The 20089-nt window shown below is 34.0% G+C and overlaps 1 protein-coding gene across 43 annotated transcripts in view; it reads left to right on the forward strand.

Moving 5' to 3' along the window:
* The window catches only part of KTN1 (kinectin 1), a 104378-nt gene that overhangs the window by 83703 nt on the left and 586 nt on the right, over positions 1 to 20089 (forward strand). For 10 of the 43 annotated variants that reach the window (NM_001402686.1, NM_001271014.2, NM_001079522.2 and 7 more), the window contains 10 exons: positions 46 to 132; positions 3332 to 3421; positions 6820 to 6900; positions 7657 to 7746; positions 7876 to 7968; positions 8721 to 8792; positions 9020 to 9103; positions 11926 to 12009; positions 14443 to 14535; positions 15656 to 15776. In NM_001402686.1, the coding sequence (NP_001389615.1) occupies positions 46 to 132; positions 3332 to 3421; positions 6820 to 6900; positions 7657 to 7746; positions 7876 to 7968; positions 8721 to 8792; positions 9020 to 9103; positions 11926 to 12009; positions 14443 to 14535; positions 15656 to 15776 (895 nt within the window). Of the gene's footprint in view, positions 1 to 45; positions 136 to 3331; positions 3422 to 6819; positions 6901 to 7656; positions 7747 to 7875; positions 7969 to 8720; positions 8793 to 9019; positions 9104 to 9262; positions 9347 to 11925; positions 12010 to 14442; positions 14536 to 15655; positions 15777 to 16776; positions 16833 to 20089 lie in introns of all 43 variants that reach the window. The other 33 variants (NR_175284.1, NM_001402693.1, NM_001402694.1 and 30 more) reach the window with 11 other exon arrangements.

Consider the following 20089-nt stretch of genomic DNA (forward strand, 5'->3'; position numbering starts at 1 on the left):
TTCAATAATGGATAAACTGAAATCATTCTTTCTAAAAATGATTAGGACCTTCGGGAGAAAAACTGGGAAGCAATGGAAGCATTGGCATCAACTGAAAAAATGCTGCAGGACAAAGTGAACAAGACTTCCAAGGTTGTAATGCTAACTCCTAGAAACAATCCACTGAACAGAGAAAATCTGCAGCTTGTCTTAAAATCAGACTAAAGCATTTACTTTTACTGCAATTTAAATATAAAATCTCCTTATCCATATTTATCATCTCTATCATCTCTGCTTTTTTCATCTACTCCTTGAAGCTTTAATTTTGGGCATGCTGATTTGTTGTGATTACCTGATTGTTTGGGCTTTGTTGAGCACAACTTTAAGCTGAAGAGTCTCAGAAGACCGATGTTAACCTCTTGTCAGACAATATGCGCCTTTTGGGTTGGTTAAGATAACTTTCATGAAAACTTTGAACCAAAGAAATCTAGGTGAATTAACAAACACATTTGAATATGTAGGATGTGCCATAAACTACGTGTTTTGGAGGGCACACCAAGATGTCTCAGATAAGGTAGAGAAATGATCAAAGTCTTAAATACAGGAAAGGCATCAACTTTGGGTGTGTTGCTTGGAATGGTTCCTTAGAGGTGGTGGACTGAAACTTCATGTATTACTGGCTAGCAATGACACATGGCATGTTTAGATGAAATATTACTATCAAGGGATAATTCTCTTGACCAGAGTATGTAAAGTACTCCTGAAATATATAGCCCCCTCTGTCTTCAGAACAATGGAGGACATTCTCCTTGAGCTCAAGTTGTACCATTGGGTGTGAAGATTTCTAATGAATTGTAATAGAGAAGTTGTTTTTAAAGATTGAGAAAATTGAATCTGCCAGTCCAGTTAAGTATTTTGAAAATTCCTGTCAAGTGTAAATGTGAAACAGGGGTATTGAATTTTGCAGACAGGTAAAAGAAAGAACCTACATGATTAATTTTAGCACTATGAAAATATTTTGTGTGCCATGGTACTCTATTGAATCTTTAATATAAGTCTTAGTGACACCTGAAGGAATGTTTAAGCATAAAATAGTTCTGTAAATTTTTTTTTTTTTTAGCAAGTATACGTTTGTAGTTACATTTCCTGTAGCTTAGTGGATTTGTATTTAACTATATCCCTATTTATCTAGCCATAATTTTCAGTAAAGGTTAAATTCGAGATAGCTGAGAGGTATATTGGGACCAGAGAGTAGGAAAATCTAGGTCAGATAGGACATTTCATTATTATTTCACTGGGAGTAGTTGCAATTGTACAGTCATTTCTGTCAGCGATGAGGGTTTTAGTGTGGTTTCTGGTTGTTTATATTACTTTGTTTTTGATGGTTAAGAGCCACCTTTTTGGTTTTATTTTTTTAGTGGGACTGGGTATGTGGGTGCTAATCACACCATTCCTACAAGAAGTTACATGCTACTTGCCATAGGCATTTTTGCATTTTATGATTCTAAAAGAAAGAATTTTTGTGCATAATGCCTTCTTGCATAGCTAAAGATCTACAGAGAATAGAATTGAAAGTCTTCTATATTTCAATGGAATTTAGACAGTCCTTAGATAGCATACGTGTAAAGGGATGTTGATTGACCCAGTGCCATAAATTATGTTGTGATGAAAAGGAACTATGTGAAACACTTTTAGTATTTTAACTAGAAATAAGTTACGGTCAGCTTACCTAAAATGTAAAGAGGATGATATATGCTGTCTTTACAGGATTATTTTTAAAGGCTAAATACTCTTGAGGAGCTACTGAAAGAAACTCTTATACATTTCACTTAAAGATGGTATGCAAATTATAGTTCAGTTTTCAATATTAGATCTTTCCCAGATGTTAAAGTGGAATGGAAATTGCTGTCTATAACCAAACTACTGTGTCAGATGAAAACTACTTAGCTAAAATTGTTAATACCAAATAAAAGTAACTTCCCATGTTTGTGGCTCTTGGTTATGTTAGATACTTTGTTCTTTTAGTTAGTCTTTTTTTTTCCTTGGAAAGTTTTCAAAAAGCTGTTCCTCAGTGTCTCTTTTCCTAACCGGTTTTCTTTAAAGATTAGTACTTTGGTCAAATGATAAGAATTACCTCTTAATGTCCTTGAAATAGCATTAATTATTTTCCTTATTTTATGCAGTTAGGTGTATTCCTGAAAATTAGTGGACTTCATTGAATTATTGAAAATATCCTATTAAAACACCTATTGTAAAAATACTGCTGCTGATCTTTAACAGCTTTTTGTGTGTATGGAAAATGGCAAAATCTGTAGCTGTTGTGTAAATTTTCATGTGATTAGATTTTCTAAAATTGAAGTGTGTAGACCTTGAATCAGTGATAGATTTCAAATTTCACATATAAATGTTGGGGGAAAGATATGGTTGAGATGTTTCTAGCTTGCTTGCCTTCTTGTCACCTGTTGAACTTTGTGACTGTTGTTTTTAGATGATTTTCTTGGCTTGGTTTAGATGTGCATTTTTATAGGGGTCTTTTTTTTCAAGTCTTGTGGAGGTAGTTGAAATGTTACATTTTTGTTTTTGGTGCGTGATAAGTCATTACCCTAATTTTGACAAACCATGGTTTTGAGTTTATAATTGATATCCATTAGACTTGGATTTAATATCAGCACATTTAGACTTAGACATTTGTAATATTTGTAAATTTATAGCAGAGTCCATATACAAGTGTCAGAACTAGTTTTTATGATGTGTGGCATTAGTGAAGTAATATGCCATCAGTTGCTCCTTGTTCTTTCTTTTTCCCATTTATGTCATCCATCAGATTTTGATGGTCCTCCTTGTTTAGCATAAATACTTCACATGACCTTGAAGTTGGAAATAAGAGAGTTACCATTTTAATGCCATGATGTTATATAGTCCATCAGTGATGCATTTTTTAATAGAGATATACCAGCCAATAAAGCTCAGTTGTGTTCCTCCAATGTGTATTTTCTACTATAGGTAGTTTATAAAGTTTTAGCTATAAGAAATGCTTTTTGTGTGTCTGATTTTGAATTGTTCCTGGACAGGCAAATCACTTGATTTCTAAATGCCAGGGAAAATGTCCATATTGTCAGATATTGCTAAGGCATTATTTGATATTTAGGATGCTTTAGAGATTTTGCAGATTTTTTCTTATGGGAGCATTTTAATATCTTAAAGTGGGAAATTTTAATATTTGTTAGTATTAAAAATTTTTTTTAAACTTTTTCTTCCCGTAGAATTATAAAACACTATAGTTTTTTTCTTTTCTTTTTTTAAAAACATTCTGTGATCTTGTAAGTTTGATTTGGCTCATCTTCTGCTTTAGGAAAGGCAGCAACAGGTGGAAGCTGTTGAGTTGGAGGCTAAAGAAGTTCTCAAAAAATTATTTCCAAAGGTGTCTGTCCCTTCTAATTTGGTAAGACTAATTTATTATTTTTTTAACATGATGACATTATTCAAGAAAGGTGTGAATAAGCAACATCATTTGCACTCCACTTGGTTTCAGTAGAGTGCTGATTTCTTGATCTTTCCTATTGTTAAGCTGGTGCTTTTCAGTAAAGATTAATAACTTGGTTCAAAACTCATTTCTATTTACCTGATACTATTGTTTCTATAAAATTTTATATATGAGACATTAGAGGATTAAAAACATCATATTTGGGAAAGAAATGTTTTTTAATGCTAATAAAACCAATATGGTAACATTCTTAATGGCTTTATTTAAAACTTAATTTTAAGTGATTGCTTCTTAGTTTTAGCAACACTTCCTTAATGTACTTGATACTATGAACTAGGCTCTTTACATTTTAAAACTCAAGATTTTTGGTCATCTATTACCTTCTTCAAGCAGAAATCTTACAGATAATATAGAACAACTTGGTTTACTTGAGGTAGTACATGTTCTCCTTTGTTCAGAGAATTAATAATTATTTGAGGGCAGAGAAAGTCAGTGAATGTGCATGTGAGTTTCCTAAAATAGAGTGTAGGGTCTTTTTTTTTTTTTCTTATTTAATGGAAAACTGTTCAACAGTAGAGAGACGAGCATAATGAGGCCTGATGTACCCAACATCTCTCCATAGCACTTATCAGTACATGGCACGCATATAAGCAATCTTCTTTTACCTCCCACCTTGCATTCCCTAGATTATTTTGAAGGAACTCAAACATCAGAGCATTTCTTCTGTAAATATTTCAGTACACATTTCTAAAACATAAGCATTTCTTTTTAAAAAGTGTGATATTACACTTAAAAATACATTCTTAATTTTGTATAGTATGCATTTCTCCAGTTGTCATAAATTGTCTGTTTTATTAAATAATAACTTACTGTAGTTTGTTTTAATCAGGATCCGAATAAGGTCAGTATGTAACTGGTTTGAGACATCTCTTAGATATTTTTTAATCCTCGGGTTCCCCGACTCTTTCTCAGCAACACCCCACCTCCTTTAAAAAAAAAACAAAAACAAAACTTAGTGGTTTCCTATGAAGTTTCCCACAGTTTGGATTTAGTTGACTGCATCCCTGTGGTGTTAGCATGTTCCTCTTTTCTTTATGTATCTTTTATGTATCAAATCTGTAATCAGGAATCTGATTCCTGGTCAGATTAAGGCTCAGTATTTTGGGGGTAGGGTAGAGTAGGGGCAAGACCACTTCATGGGCGGTGGTGTGCACTTTCATGAGGAGATTCGTAATGTCTGCTTGTCTTCCTTTGGCCCATTGGAACTTATTTAGGTTTGTTACCAAGTCGTTTTGACACAATGCTGCTAAACTTTGATAGCTTCTATGCTTTGTGGTATGATAAGGTGCTCCTGATTTATCATATACATTTCCTGCCCCAAACATAGAATCAACTATTTCTCCAAGGAGCTCTGTGGGTGCTAGGGGTGGGGTAAGTAAACTTAATGGCTTGTTCTATTTGTAGTCTGAGTTAAGTATAGCCTACATTTATTTCAAGTAAGGAGAGAAAACTCCTTTGTTTCCATTGTAACTATCGAGGATATGTTCCGATCTGATCAGTTTAGGAGATCTCTACCACTTTTGAGTTGAACTGATGAAATACCTAGCACTGAGTAAACGTATAGATACACTATCAGTTCTAGTGCTGTTGTTAAATTGAACCTAAGAGAAAGGGTTGCTATTAATATATTCAATTTTTTTTTCTTTGTGGCATAACCTGTTTTTGTTTCTACTTTATATTTATGGAAATAATACTGGGGGATGTATTTTTTGGCAGTACTTTATGAGCCAAGAGAATTAATGATTGATAATTTCTGTTCTTCAAAGATTGTATAAGATCACCAGCAGTAAAAATTTTCTTTTCTAACAGCAATACTACCCACTCTCAGTAACCAGATCTTTTTGACACTAGAAATATTTATAAGTCATCATAATAAATGGATGATACTGTTTGGCTTTTGTTCATATACTTGTCAAAAGTTGAATATTTCTGCATATAGTCTACAAGAAATGTACTAAACTTTCTATGTGCTAACATTAGAGTCTGGCATTTTAGGTTTGTAAAGATTTGAAGGACAATAAACTATTTATGTTATAAAATAATAAAGCAATAAGCTTCATTAATATTAAGATAAGTCAAGATAATTAGTAGATATAAAAATATATAAATTTTTTTACTGTTTCCTCTTGCTGTTTTGCTGAGCAGTCAACATAGGAGAGATCTAAATTATATGACCTAGAAGGAAATTTACAAACTTTAAGCAACAAAACTAGTTTTTTATCTTATTTTAATTTATGTTGGGTACCAATAGTTGAAACTGTTAAGTAGGATTCTGATAGTGTACATTTAGTCTTGGTTCAGATTTATAATGTGAGAATGTTAAATAGTGTTTTAAAACTAATTTGATATTAAAGGTATTGTACTATGGAGTGACTCAGCATCTACTTTTGTTTTTTGTTATTTGATAGTTTCCAGAGAATCCTGATTCTGCTGCATATGTAACAGTTTATATTATAGCAGTTAATAAAAATTTCATGAGTTTTTTTCTTAAATTTAATCCAAAGACTTAAAAGAAGGAATAAGAGGAAATTTGATTTAAAGTATGTAACACACAGATACACTTTATCAAAGTGTAAAATTCAGATAAGCATCAATAATTTAGAGTAATTTATTCTAAAATTTAGAATAAATGCCAAAACTGTAATACATGCATATTTACATCAGCTAACCTGTCAGCACAAATTGAGTTTTTGTTGGATTTAAACAAGTGAATGTGTATGCATATCACTTCTCATTAGGATTTTTAAAATACTGAATAATATTTCCTAATTTGAATGAAATAATTTTAGAGTCCTTGGAGCATTTTCACAGAATTTGAAATCCTCCAAATGGAACATCTTTATGAACTCAAAATACTTCACTTTCACTTTATGAACTCAAAATACTTCATTTTTGAGAACTGATTTACCTGGAAACAGTTTTGAAAAATTAGTCTGGGTTTTTTGTGTTTTAAAGATTATTTGTCCTGGTGCTAGTAAGTGGTAGAGGCCAGATTTGAACCCAGGTTTTTCTACATGCAACTGCAGAATTCAGTTGAAAATACTCTTGGTTAGGTATATAATATTTTATTTTGATGGTAGGTACATAGGTCTGTTTTTAGTGCTTGTTTTTCAAAGTGGGTTATGTCCAACTTATGCAGTAGTTACATTCCTCTTTGAAATTTGTAGCAATGTCCTGTTTGTCTGTGTAGGTTTCTTTTATAATTATCTAATTTGGTTATTTTAAATGTTTCACCTGTTTTATTTGGATTTTTTTTTTCTTTGGAAATTAATGATTTTAACTTTTCTCGTCCACAGAGTTATGGTGAATGGTTGCATGGATTTGAAAAAAAGGCAAAAGAATGTATGGCTGGAACTTCAGGGTCAGAGGAGGTTAAGGTTAGTTCAGCAAATGAACTGTTTGTAATTTAAACATAGAAAAAAGAAGCAAATAAGATTTTGTCTTCATAAGCTTGGAAAAGATAAAAGATAATCGAATAAGGCTCTTTTGAGAAAGTGTAAGAAGGTGATTTCATTTTGTTTAAATTTTAGTTGAAATACAGTAAGTTGTCTTTGCATTTGATTTGTTTACAAAGCTAGTGTTTGCCATTCCTTTAACTCTGTATTTTAATTGTTTCTAAAATTGAATATTTATCCCTTACTATCTTTTTAGCCTAGGTTTAAAAAGTAAAGATTAGTCGAGATAGGTAGAATCTCACTGGTTTGCTGAAGCATCCCCAAATACGTCATTAGAGGTATTTAGAAACTGGATTGGTTTTTATCCTTGGCTACTGAAATTGGGGGGGATTTATTATTATTGTTTTCTTGTATCTCAAGTGGCATGAATAAAATCCTCTTTCCCATGTGTGTAGCATAGGCATTGTGACCATACTTCACATGTGGGTCTGCTTTGATCTTACCACCTGACTAAAGACTTTAGTACCAAGACTATTTATTATAACATTGTTTAATAAAAATGACCAAAAGGGTTATTGAATGAACTTCATCGCTACTTAGAAAGGTTGAAATGTAGTGTTTCCTTATAAAACACTTTGAAACCATTTATCATAATACAGTATTAAGTACTAAAACAAACTTGAAGCATAAAACTTTCTGGTAGAATTATGGAGTTTTTCTTTATTTCGTTCTTTGCAGGTTCTAGAGCACAAGTTGAAAGAAGCTGATGAAATGCACACATTGTTACAGCTAGAGTGTGAAAAATACAAATCCGTCCTTGCAGAAACAGTAGGAAATGATTTTTAATCTACATTTTGATTTTACTTTAAATCATTACCTTCTTCCTTCATGGCCTAAATAGTTTTATCTTGGCATTAGAACATGAATTTTTCAAAACAACTATGCTTTTGTCTGTAGGAAGGAATTTTACAGAAGCTACAGAGAAGTGTTGAGCAAGAAGAAAATAAATGGAAAGTTAAGGTCGATGAATCACACAAGACTATTAAACAGGTATTTACAAAAGAAAAGCTTAGAGCAGTGGTTCTCGATGTGTGGGGCTTGAACCAGCAGCATCAGCATCACCATGCACATTCTTGGGCCCCAACCCAGCTACCAAATCCAAAACATGTATGTGGGGTGGCAGCAGTCTGTGTTTTCATGAGCCCTCCAGAATAGTCTAATGCCCACCCAAGTTTGAAAATCACTGGTTTTAAAGTATGACTAAAGGGTAATCATATAGAATGTAGAATGCTAGTTACAGAACTATTGTGTGATAAGGTAAAGAATACTGGGTTCAAAATCAGTTTTAAAGTATTTAACCCATAATATAGAATTCAAGAAAAAGTCATTCTTCTATTCCTGGGACCTGAATGTTATTTTGCAACCTTAATTTTTCTCCCTTTTACTTCAGCGTGATAAAGAGTACCATTACTCACTTATTTTTTGGGGCCAATGTGCAGAATTTACAGTTGCTGATGGTACTCTAATGCACTTGCAGAATAAATACAGCTGAATATCAGTTAATACTAATAAAAAATTAATCACTTTTAGCCGAGCCTAATATACAAATGGAGTAGGTTTGGACCACAATTTAAATCAAGTTCAATGTGACTCATTTTTAAGGTCTTTTAAAATTCATCTCTTTTAAATGAGATGCATTTCAAAACCTTGGAAGTGTCTTTTAATTGATCAGAATTCTACAGGATAGAAACTGCTATATCCTTGGTGGTTTTACTTGGCCATGTAATTGTTTCACATTTCAGATGCAGTCATCATTTACATCTTCAGAACAAGAGCTAGAGCGATTAAGAAGCGAAAATAAGGATATTGAAAATGTATGTTATTTGATTGTTTTACTTGTAACCTATGGATTTGTTTTTAGCATTAACGGTTGTCTGAAGATCTATAGTTTAAGATTACTTTATAGTTATGCTCTTAATATCTTGGGTAGTGTTTGAGTTGATATAGTTTTATATTCATAAGTGTCATAATTTTGTCTTGTGGGGAAATATTATGAAAGGAAATTTTAAGTGTGTTAACTTTTCCTTTGTTGCATTGCTAGCTGAGAAGAGAACGAGAACATTTGGAAATGGAACTAGAAAAGGCAGAGATGGAACGATCTACCTATGTTACAGAAGTCAGAGAGGTACTTACAACAGAATCTTTTCAAACTTGCTTCTCAATTCAGATTAAGTTTATAACAGTGATATTTCAGTATAAGTTGTTTGTGGCAGAGCTTCCGAGTAGCATACAAAACATGGGCTATCATAAGGAGATCAATCTTAAACTCTAAACTTCATTGCAGCTGAAAGATCTGTTGACTGAATTGCAGAAAAAACTTGATGATTCATATTCTGAAGCAGTAAGACAGAATGAAGAGCTAAATTTGGTAAGAAGCTTGTCCTCCACTGGGTATCAAGTAGGCACTGAAAACACTTTATTGACATGTGGAGAAACCATCCAGGCTTTTTTTTCTTTGCTAACATCTTTAGCTTGGCCTTTTTGTAAGTCTAAGATAATCTTCATATTCCGATGATTCCTAAGATTATCTTTCTTTTCTTGACTCCTAAAATGATCCTTCTTTTCTTAGCTCCTAACAATGGCATGTTTGGCTTCCAACTCTTTTTCAAAATTTTCCATGTTTTATAAATCCTATTTTCTCAAACAGCAGTCTTTTCTGTGAATAAAGAAATGAAATAAAGATTGGCTGAGTTACGAAGATTTTCTTCTCAGACTATCATAGTTAATGGGGCCTTTTATTTTCTAACCTGGGAGAAGATTATATTGAAAGTCAAAGACACATATTCTTCATTCAAGGGCAGTAATCTAATCCAGTTTCTAATTTTAACCTAGTCTCTCTATATATTACAAATATTAAAAAGCGTATAAGAGTCTTTATTATCAACATATTATTTAGAGTATAGTAATCCTAAAAGCATAGGCTTTGAGATAAAGTTAGCTAAATGTCTTAAAACATATAATACCCTGTATTCCTATTCTCAAGTTTTCTAAAAACTGTACTGATTGTGACAGACTTAGCTATTAGACAAATATGGCTGTCTTGCTCTCTGTTTCAAACAGCAATTGTTATGTCTTCCTTGTGAGTTAAAAATTGTTACAGCACAGGGATTAGATTTTTTTTTTTTAAGTACCTTAATAAACTCTCAGAAGATTACAGTAGTAAGTTTTTTCCTTACCCAAAGTTCACCCTGCCCAGTTTGGAATTTTCTTGTTAGCATTACTCCATGTACCAAGAAAACTTTAACTCATTCATTTGTGGTTGGTATCCTATGTTATGGCAAACATTTATGGGAATCAATTTTTAGAGTAGAGCGGTATGAAATACAGGTTGCGTATTCTTTATCTGGAATGCTTGGAACCAGCAATTTTGGGGGGGGATTTTGGATTATTTGTATTATATGCTTGCTCTGTATGTGTCCCTTATCTGAAAATCCGAAATCTGAAATGCTCCAGTGAACATTTCCTTTGAGTGTCATGTCAGTGCTTAAAAAGTTTAGGATTTTGGAGCATTTCAAAGTTCAGATTTTCAGATTAGGGATGTTCATACACACAGAGCCCTACACACACAGAGCCCTACACCTCTAATTTTTAAATCTTTGTTTTATGTACCAATGTTTTACTTTAACTGAACTCATTCACCCTGCATTGTGAGACTGGTTCTATGCTATGCATTGCACAGATTAGGACTGTGATATGTCATGGCTATAAGTCCTCACTCTATGTTTTTAAAAAATCATTTCTAACTAGTTGTTAGAGTTTTACTTATTAACTTTGGTGCTTAGTGGCTGACTCAACAGTTACATGGTTACATCTCCACTTGGCTTAATGCTTTATTTTGATTTTTTATCCCTCTACTTCTGTCAGGAGATCATTTTTAGTGGTTGATACTTACTTTTTTTCCCTAGTCTTGAGTTTGGGATCTTTATTTTAATGTTTGTTTGCTCAGAATAACTGCTGCTACTTTTTATGATAAAATAGCTTTGTTTGCCTGTACGTGCTTTGTGTATTCTTGGGCCAAAAGATTAATTTCTCTGATGGAGAATATTAAAACTCAAAGTTGTGTAAAGGACCAGAATTTATTTGGGTACTTACATAGAATTCCTCAGATAAAATTTCCAAGTGGAATTTCCCTCCGCCCCACTGCCACCCCTTTTTAATTCTCCCTCCAATTTTAAATGTCACTGCCTTGTCTTTCCCCCTTTGGGCCTCTAGAACTGTTTCAAAAGTGCCCATGGGTGGGAAGCAAAAACAATTACCTTATGAGAATAAGAAGAAAGTTTTTTGGGAGCAGTATAGTTCATTTTCCTTGCTCATATTTAATTGGAAAATCAGAGAAGCGGCATTATATATTCGCATTGGAGTTACAGAACTTTCTGTTTTGACAGATTGGGTTATTCATAGGTATATCGTAAAGCATTTCTTGATGGTATAATACAGGCCAGTGTGGTCTTGTACTACCCCTTAGTGAAGCCTTAAACGATGGTCAGTATTTTGGGAGTTTTAATTTGACTGGATTTGTAGTCTTCTATTCAGTGTTTTTAAAAATATTGTATAATTGACTCTTTAATTGAACTGTATAGATTAAGAAAGCCTTTAAAAACTAACGGGTAAAGTATCTATTTGGCTTTTAATTTGAAATAATTTCAGTGACTGTTATAAATAGTGATATCTTTAAAAGGTACTTTACTGGAATTTGATGGTTTTGTTTTTGCATTTGCAGTTTTCTACTCTAAACTGTAGTTCATTTCTGTGGCTTTTCTTATGTTTAGCTTTACAGATGGGAACCTCTACTGCTTAGCCTTTCTATACATCTGGTGCAGCATATTGGCTAATCCACTGTACATAATAACTGTTAGCAGTCCCATTCATTCTTCAGTCCTAGAGGTATCAGCATAATCAAAGAATGATGCAAATTAAGTTAATTGTGGTGTTCCTTTATTTTTACAGTTGAAGGCACAGTTAAATGAAACACTCACAAAACTTAGAACTGAACAAAATGAAAGACAGAAGGTAGCTGGTGATTTGCATAAGGTAGGCACTGTTCGTCCTAGAGATGTAGTATCATGAGCCTGTGTTGTGTGTTCAATCTTAAGCAAACTTATGCTGCTAATTCTGGATTTGTTGTTTTGCATCATAATATTAACCTTTTATAAATTTAAGCTGCTTGTTATTAGTTAGTATTTTGGAATGAAACGTTTTGGCTTGTTTTTCCAGGATTCTTAATTCACCTCATTATTTCCTCACATTTCTATAATTAATTGCTTTATAAAGTACAGAGTAAAATTTAGTTGGAGTTATTAAAATTTGGCTGCATCCATATATTTTTTAAAATTGGGATTTGGCTGTGTATTCATTTACAAAGTATGTTTCTCTTGGTCTTTTGGATAAAACAAAGATATAAATTTCTATTTTTTTTAGATGTTTTTCCTTCATTTATTTCTTCATACAAATATATTTTTCCTAATCTCAATGCAAATGAATGATTTTTAGGACTGCATTTCTTTGCATTGGTTTGACAGGTTATTTGTAATTCTGTTTTGAGATCTATTTTTAATAGTAGAATTCACATATTCTTATATCAAAGCTGTTTTAGAGCTATGATAGTGTTTATGGATATATCATCATTAGCAAAACAAGTGTCACTTTTTGGAATTGCAAGAACAAGAGGTACGCACTTAAATTTTGATAGTATAAAATGGAATCCCAGAAACCCAACAGTAGTAATTTATACTCCTCTCAACATGGTATGAGAACATGTATTTCCCTATACCCTCACCAATATTAGATACTGTCTAACATTTAAATATTTGATATTCTAATAGATTTTAAAAGTTATCTCATTTTAAAAAATAATACTCCTTTTAAAGAGTTGAAAGAAATTTTTTTTTGATTCTATATGCTTATAGTTTATAATTGTTATGTAAAAGTCTAGGAATCCACAAGTGTTGTCAGGTTATTTTAGTGTAGACAGAATGTGAATTTGGGTCTGTTTTAGAGGACAAACTTTGATGCTTAATACACTGTTGTGGTTGAGCAGTCAGTTTACTTTGATACGTGATTTTAATTTTTGACCTCTGGATCAAAATATAAACATGGAATTTAGCCTAGCAATGTAGTTTCTTAGAAAGTACTTTAAAAATACCAAACTGGTGCTCAAAGTTATATAATAGATATACCATCTTATTTACAGTAGCTAAGATGGCAATGATAGGTGACAGTTAACTGCCCCATACCTATACAGTAGAAATATTGTGCAACATTTGATTGGAAAAGCACATAAATATTTGACTAAAAAAAGTTTATAACGGCTGGGCATGGTGGCTCACGCCTGTAATCCCAGTACTTTGGGAGGCCAAGGTGGGCGGATCACCTGAGGTCAGGAGTTCAAGACCAGCCTGGCCAACATGGTGAAACCCCCGTCTCTACTAAAAATACAAAAATTAGCCGGGTGTGGTGGTGCGCACCTGCAGTCTCAGCTACTCAGGAGGCTGAGGCAGAAGAATTGCTTGAATCCGGGAGGCAGAGGTTGCAGTGAGCCGAGATTACGCTACTGCACTCTAGCCTGGGTGACAGAGAAAGACTGTCTAAAAAAAAAAAAAAAAAAAAAAGTTAATAACATACTTTGTAAAATAGGTAAGTATAAAGCAGTATGTATGTTAAAGCTCACTTATGTAATATTTTCTATAAGCACATAATATGTAGAGAGGGATCTAAACTAGGGGTGGACAAATCCCAAAGCTTTTTTAGGGTTTGTGGGTCACATATGATCTCTTTAGAATATTTTTGTCTCCTTTTTAACATAACCCTTTATTTTATTATATATTTTTTGAGATGGAGTTTTGCTCTTATTGCCCAGGCTGGAGTGCAATGGCACCATCTTGGCTCACTGCAACCTCCGCCTCCCAGGTTCAGTTGATTCTCCTTCCTCAGCCTCCCTAGTAGCTGGGATTACAGGCATGTGCCACCACACCTGGCTAATTTTGTATTTTTAGTAGAGATGGGGTTTCTCCATGTTGGTCAGGCTGGTCTCGAACTCCCGACCTCAGGTGATCCGCCCGCCTTGGCCTCCCAAAGTGCTAGGATTACAGGCGTGAGCCACCGCGCCCAGCAACATGGCCCTTTAAAAAGTAAAAAATATTCTTAGCTTGTATTCTGTACAAAAACAGGCTTTGGGCCAGATTTGACTAACCTGTAATCTAGACTAATACTAACCTAAATATCAACTATGGTTATTTCTGTTTTTAAATTTCTTTGTATAGTTTCTGCATTACTTAAGCTTTTAAAAACAGTGAACATATGTTCTTATAATCTGGTGGGGGGTGAAGCTATTTTCATTTTGGAGGGAAAAACCTGTGTCGTCTTTTGAGAGGAGCTTTTATCTTCTACAAAATGAATAAAATTATTCATTTTTTATGTATTTATCAACTGTATTACTTAGTAGCTACCATATTGTTTTCCTTATAGGCTCAACAGTCACTGGAGCTTATCCAGTCAAAAATAGTAAAAGCTGCTGGAGACACTACTGTTATTGAAAATAGTGATGTTTCCCCAGAAACGGTATGTATTTTCTTCATCCCCAGATCTCTGAGCTAGTTACCTTGTGACCTGTGTAAAGAACAAAAATGTATAAGGTCCATCTCCGAAAGTCATCTTTCTTGAAAATATCCTGTCCCTAAAATGTAGTGTTTTCATTGATGTTTGATCTCATTTTTGCTTATTGAGGTATGTTAATTTTAAGGGTTGTGTTGAGAGGTATGGAGCGGGGGTCCCCAATTCCTGGACTGTGGACAGGTACCAGTCAATGGCTTTTTAGGAACCAGGCCACACAGCAGGAGATGAGTGGTGGGTGAATGACCATTGCCGCCTGAGCTCTGCCTCCTGTCAGATCAGTGGCAGCATTAGATTCTCATAGGAGTGCAAACCCTATTGTGAACTGCATGCTCCTTATGAGAATCTAATGCCTGATGATCTGAGGTGGAACAGTTTCATCCTGAAACCATCCCCGCACTCACCCATCTGTGGAAAAATTGTCTTCCACAAAACTGGTCCCTGGTGCCAAAACGGTTGGGTATTGCTGGCCTAGAGTATAGACTCTGGAGCTAGACTGCCTATGTTTGAATCCTGGCTCTGCCACTTAGTAGCCATGTGAATTTGGGCAGATCTTTAGCCACTTTGTGCTTTAGTTGCCCCATCTGTAAAAGGCAATGATAATAGTACCTATCCTGTAGGGTTTTTGAAAGAAGTAAATGAGTTAATACATAAAACACTTAAAATAGTAGGTGGTACTTACAACAGTGCCTGGCACTTACTTACTAAGAGCTCAGTATATGTTAACTTTTTTTACTGTTTGGAATGTACTTTCTTTTGCGGGGCAAATTTTCTTTTTCTGAAAGAAAAAATGGATATATTTCTGATATTCATAGATTCTAGATTTTTTTTCCTTTTGTGTCCAAGTGACAACATTTATAACATAGTTTTCTTTGGTGCCAACTAGTTTGCACCACTAGTTAGCAAACAGTATTTCTCTATGTGGTTTTTGTTATTGTTGATTTTCATGTCATTGTTCAGATTTTTTAATGTTTGTGTTTAAATCAGCAATATAACATTTTCTGTTGTTTGGTTTTACATTTCTTTTCCTTGTGTATGGAGTTTATCATCACTTCCATCTTCTTTTTAGGAGTCTTCTGAGAAGGAGACAATGTCTGTAAGTCTAAATCAGACTGTAACACAGTTACAGCAGTTGCTTCAGGCGGTAAACCAACAGCTCACAAAGGAGAAAGAGCACTACCAGGTGTTAGGTAAGGACAACTGAAATATTGCTGTCTATGGGTAATTGATGTTATGTGTCTGTGTAATGTGTATTTACATAAATAAACTCACTTCACTAGAGGAAATATTCCTTCTTTATCTCTCAGAACTTCCAGATGACAGCCTTAAGCTTTCTTGGAGCTTTAGTTCTATTTTGTGCATATCTTGAAGGTCTTGTAGCTTGGAGGGGTTATCTGTGCCTCCTTTGACCTTTGTATCAAACAGACTCTCTTGTAACTTGGCTGCCTGGGTTTTTGTGTGTTGCCTTAATACCTGCAACGGCTTCGTTAATTTATTCTGTTCTTAGTTTAGAGTAAGTATCTGTGACCTTTTCTCCCCCCTCCCTTCCTTCCTCCTTTCCTCCCTCCCAAAATAAAATGACCATAACATTTTAACTGAGGTAAGGTTGCTAAACTGGAAGTAAGGTCATCACAGTGTCTTAAAATTGAAAGCTGGTTTTTATTCAAGTTTGCTTTTGTTAGGTAATCTAAGAAATTCGTTCATTAGCTCCTGAAGTGAGATTTTTACTTGAGGATAGCTAAACCCATAATTAACCAAGTCATGTTATGAGCTTTTATTGTCTATATTACCTTGGAAGGCTCAGATTTGGTAGCATTTTAAAATGACTTGTATTCCAGCCGGTGAATGCAGTTTTTGTTTTTCTGGTTGTAGGGTTTTTTTTTTTTTTTCTGTTGCTACCTGGATTTTACCTGTTTTATGAATAACTTAAGTCACACTGCCTAGAGTGTAATTAGAGTATTCAGATATGCACTGAATACTTCAGATATTCTTCTTTTGAAGATATTTTCTCTAAAACAATCATGATATCCTGGAGACCCTGAGGGGCAACTCATCACTGAATTATCCCTTTCAGAACCCCTGATAATACTGTGTTGGGCTATACAAGGCCTCAGGGAGAGCTTAGGTATCCTGGAAAAGTTGGGATGGACTTCCATTTTGATCTTACAGGAGCGTTTTGTCTCACTTTAGAGTGATCATCCTCTGGCCTACCTTGACACATGCTCTCCTTCAAAATGCTAATTCAGGTCAGTTATCTCTAACATGACTTTCCATATAATAAGCCCAGCTCATTCTTCAACATATCAACAAAAGTAATTAAGCCTCAGCTCAAATCTTTTATCCTTGGTAAGCTGACTTCTCCAGTTTCCCAATGTAAAAATTCTGCCACATTTCCTCGCTTTTCCAAATTAGGAAATAACCTTGCTTCCTAGGGAAACTTCCATCGCTTCTTCCCAGGACTTCAGCCTTATTCTTTCCACTGGCTCCCTCTGTTCAGTCTTGAAAACATGCTCAGATGGCTTATTTTAACCTTGTACTTCCTTCAGGTTACCACCCTTATTTTTTTACTTTTTTACTATTTAGTATTCTTAAGAAAATACTCTCTATCTACTTATTTATTGTTATTGATTACTTTATACACTCTAGAATGGCTTTTCTTCCTGCTATTTCAATGAAATCATTTTTGCAAAAATCATTAATGATCCCTAATTGCTAGATCCAATATAGGCCCTTCTTTTGCATGTGATCAGATACTGAAAGTACTTAATGAAATATGTCAAAAATGCTGACATTAGACCTTTGTCTTATAAGGGAAGGGTTTCATTTCTAGAGAGCTTAAACAATTAAAAGATTGCCTATTACCCCTTGCCTTTCGACCTAAGCGATATTCTCTCTTTAGCATCTCATAGATGTTCTTTAATATTTTCCTTTTCTTCCTAAATACATAGTCTGCTCATTTTAAGTCTTGTGAACTATTTTTGGCTTGTCCATTGCCACATTTGTTTTAATTGTATTACACTTGAGACATATGAATCATTGATAATAACACTTTTTCTTTTTGATTTGCAGAATTATAGTAATTTATTAAAATATGTCTGTATACCCTCACAACGCAGTTGGCAGGCAGCTCCCCTCCTAACTGATAGCACAACATTCTTTTGTCAGCTGATAAACATAAGTCCAAGTTTGGCAAGTGGGTGGTTGACAGTATTATATCATGAATGATAGGCTGGATTGTTATGAAAATAGAGGCCCACCAGGCACTCTCGAACTTCTTCATTCCTTAGGCTCTACCTGGCATTGACATTGATAATTCTTCCTTGTGTACTTATGTTTTGGTTCCCGTAGCTCTTCTTTATACCCGTTAAATGTTTGTGTTACCCTCAGGTTTTTATCCTTAGCTATCATTTTTGCTACATATATTCTCCCTCCTGTATACTCTATTTAAACTGACACGAGATGATTACATTGAAAATACACATTTCTCAATCATTAGAATGTAGGTAATAGCTTAATATATCTAATGTCAAGAAACCTTTAAAAATATACACAAGTACTTATGAATTGTTTATGATAATGCTGCACATATTCAATAAAGGGAGAGTTGTTTTTAAAAACAAATATGCAAGAAATAATATGCATTGATGTAGTTTTTCTAAATCCTGATACATAGTACTTAGCGTTTCTTAGAGCTGTAGGGGTAGGTGTATTTAACTGATATCTTTAATTTGTGAAAACTTTTCTTTTGGAAATTTTTTTCCCCATTACCTATTTTTCCTCCCCCCATCAAAAAAAGAAAAGGGTACCATCCTCCGCTTTCCATTTGTGGGGAGTGGGAGATTGATTAAGATGCCTTTTATATGAATTGACAGTATTGGCATTTTATAATATACTTTTTTGTTCCCAGATATCTACTCTTTATGTTTCACATTTGCCTGGTTTCTAAGTTTTCTAGGTGTATTTCTAACCAAATCAGAAAACTTTATTATCCCAGGTTACCTTATCTTGGAACCAGTTTATAGAATCCTGTTGAGGGAGGATGATAATTTAAATAGCTGATACTTCATGAGTATGCCTGTTAGCATAAGCATGCTTCCAACATGTGGCAACTCCTTTAATCTTCACAACCACCCTGTGTGTTAGGTAGGTAGGTATTATTATTACCATGTTACAACAGACCCAAAGAGATTCTATAACTTGTCCAAGGTCATACGGCTAATAAATGGGCGAGCTGGGGTTTAAATCAAGGTAATTTGGGTACAGGGCTTGTGTTCTTAATCAGTGCTTTTCTTCTCCCTAATTCAGGCACTGTGTTCACTGATCCCTTTTGTCACTGTTTTCTTTTCTCCTCATTTTGTCTTTTTATTTTTTTTTGGCCAGCCTCTTAGAAGTTTTGTCAATCAATTCTGACTTTTTCCTAAAGTTGATATTTGGTTTGTCAGTAGCGTATTGGAGAGGCTTACAGTAGTATCCAGAAGAAATGGAGGTGAAGCTCTGTGTGTACTCTCTGTACTCCCTTTAACAAATAGATTCTTAAGTGTTTCTGAAAGAAAAAGTCCTTTTGTAGGGCTCCTGAAGTACAAGAGTTAATGCTCTGGAGAAAAACTTATCTTATTTCTACACTGAACCTTAGCTATCATATGGATCAGGTTTTCATTTTCTGTGTTTACATAGCACTTTAGAGTTTAATGTACTAGTGATCTTTTTAGACTTTCCGATCAACTGTTAATAGCCAGTGATAACTTTGCTTTTTAATTTTCCAATTGCTTCTTTCCTCTAAACTTTTTATTTCAACACATAAAGTTGAAAGAATAGTACAACACCCGTAAACCCTCCACCTGCTTCATCTCTTTCTATATGTCTACATATTTTGTTGTTAAACTAATTGAAAGTAACTTTTAGTCATTATGACATTTTATCTCTAAGTACTTTAGCACACATCTCCGAAAACAAGACATTGTTTTACCAATCAGTGGTACCATTATTACAACCAAAAAGACAAAATAGTAGTTATGTACTATCCAATATTAAACGTTTATTCACATTTTGTCAATTGTACCCAAAATAGCTTTTTAACTATTTTCCCCAAACCAGAATCCAAGGCAAAATTTAACATGTTGTGTTTTGTTAAGTCCTCTTAGTCTCTCTAATGGCTTTTGAAGTTTAATTTCTTTAGTCATCTTATCTGACTTAGAAAACTTCATATGACCTAAAAAAAAAAAAAAAAATCTATTTCTGCTCTTTTAAATTATTTATTCACTGGGGTAAGGTTGTATTCAACCCCTTTTCAGTGCTACTCACTCACTTTAGCTTTACATTCTCTTGAGTAGGACTAATAAAAATGGATTACCAGTGTTGTTGTTTTAAATGTTTTCTAACAGAATTTGGCTCACATTTAAAAGTATCTACCTAAAAGCTTGTTTCCTTTGAATCCTGAGATTTTTCTCAGTTTGATTACCATTAGTGTGAATTGCTTTGAGTCTATTTGAAAGGGCCATGCTAG

This window comes from Homo sapiens, chromosome 14, assembly GCF_000001405.40.
Source record: "Homo sapiens chromosome 14, GRCh38.p14 Primary Assembly".
Classification (NCBI taxonomy): Eukaryota; Metazoa; Chordata; class Mammalia; order Primates; family Hominidae; genus Homo; species Homo sapiens.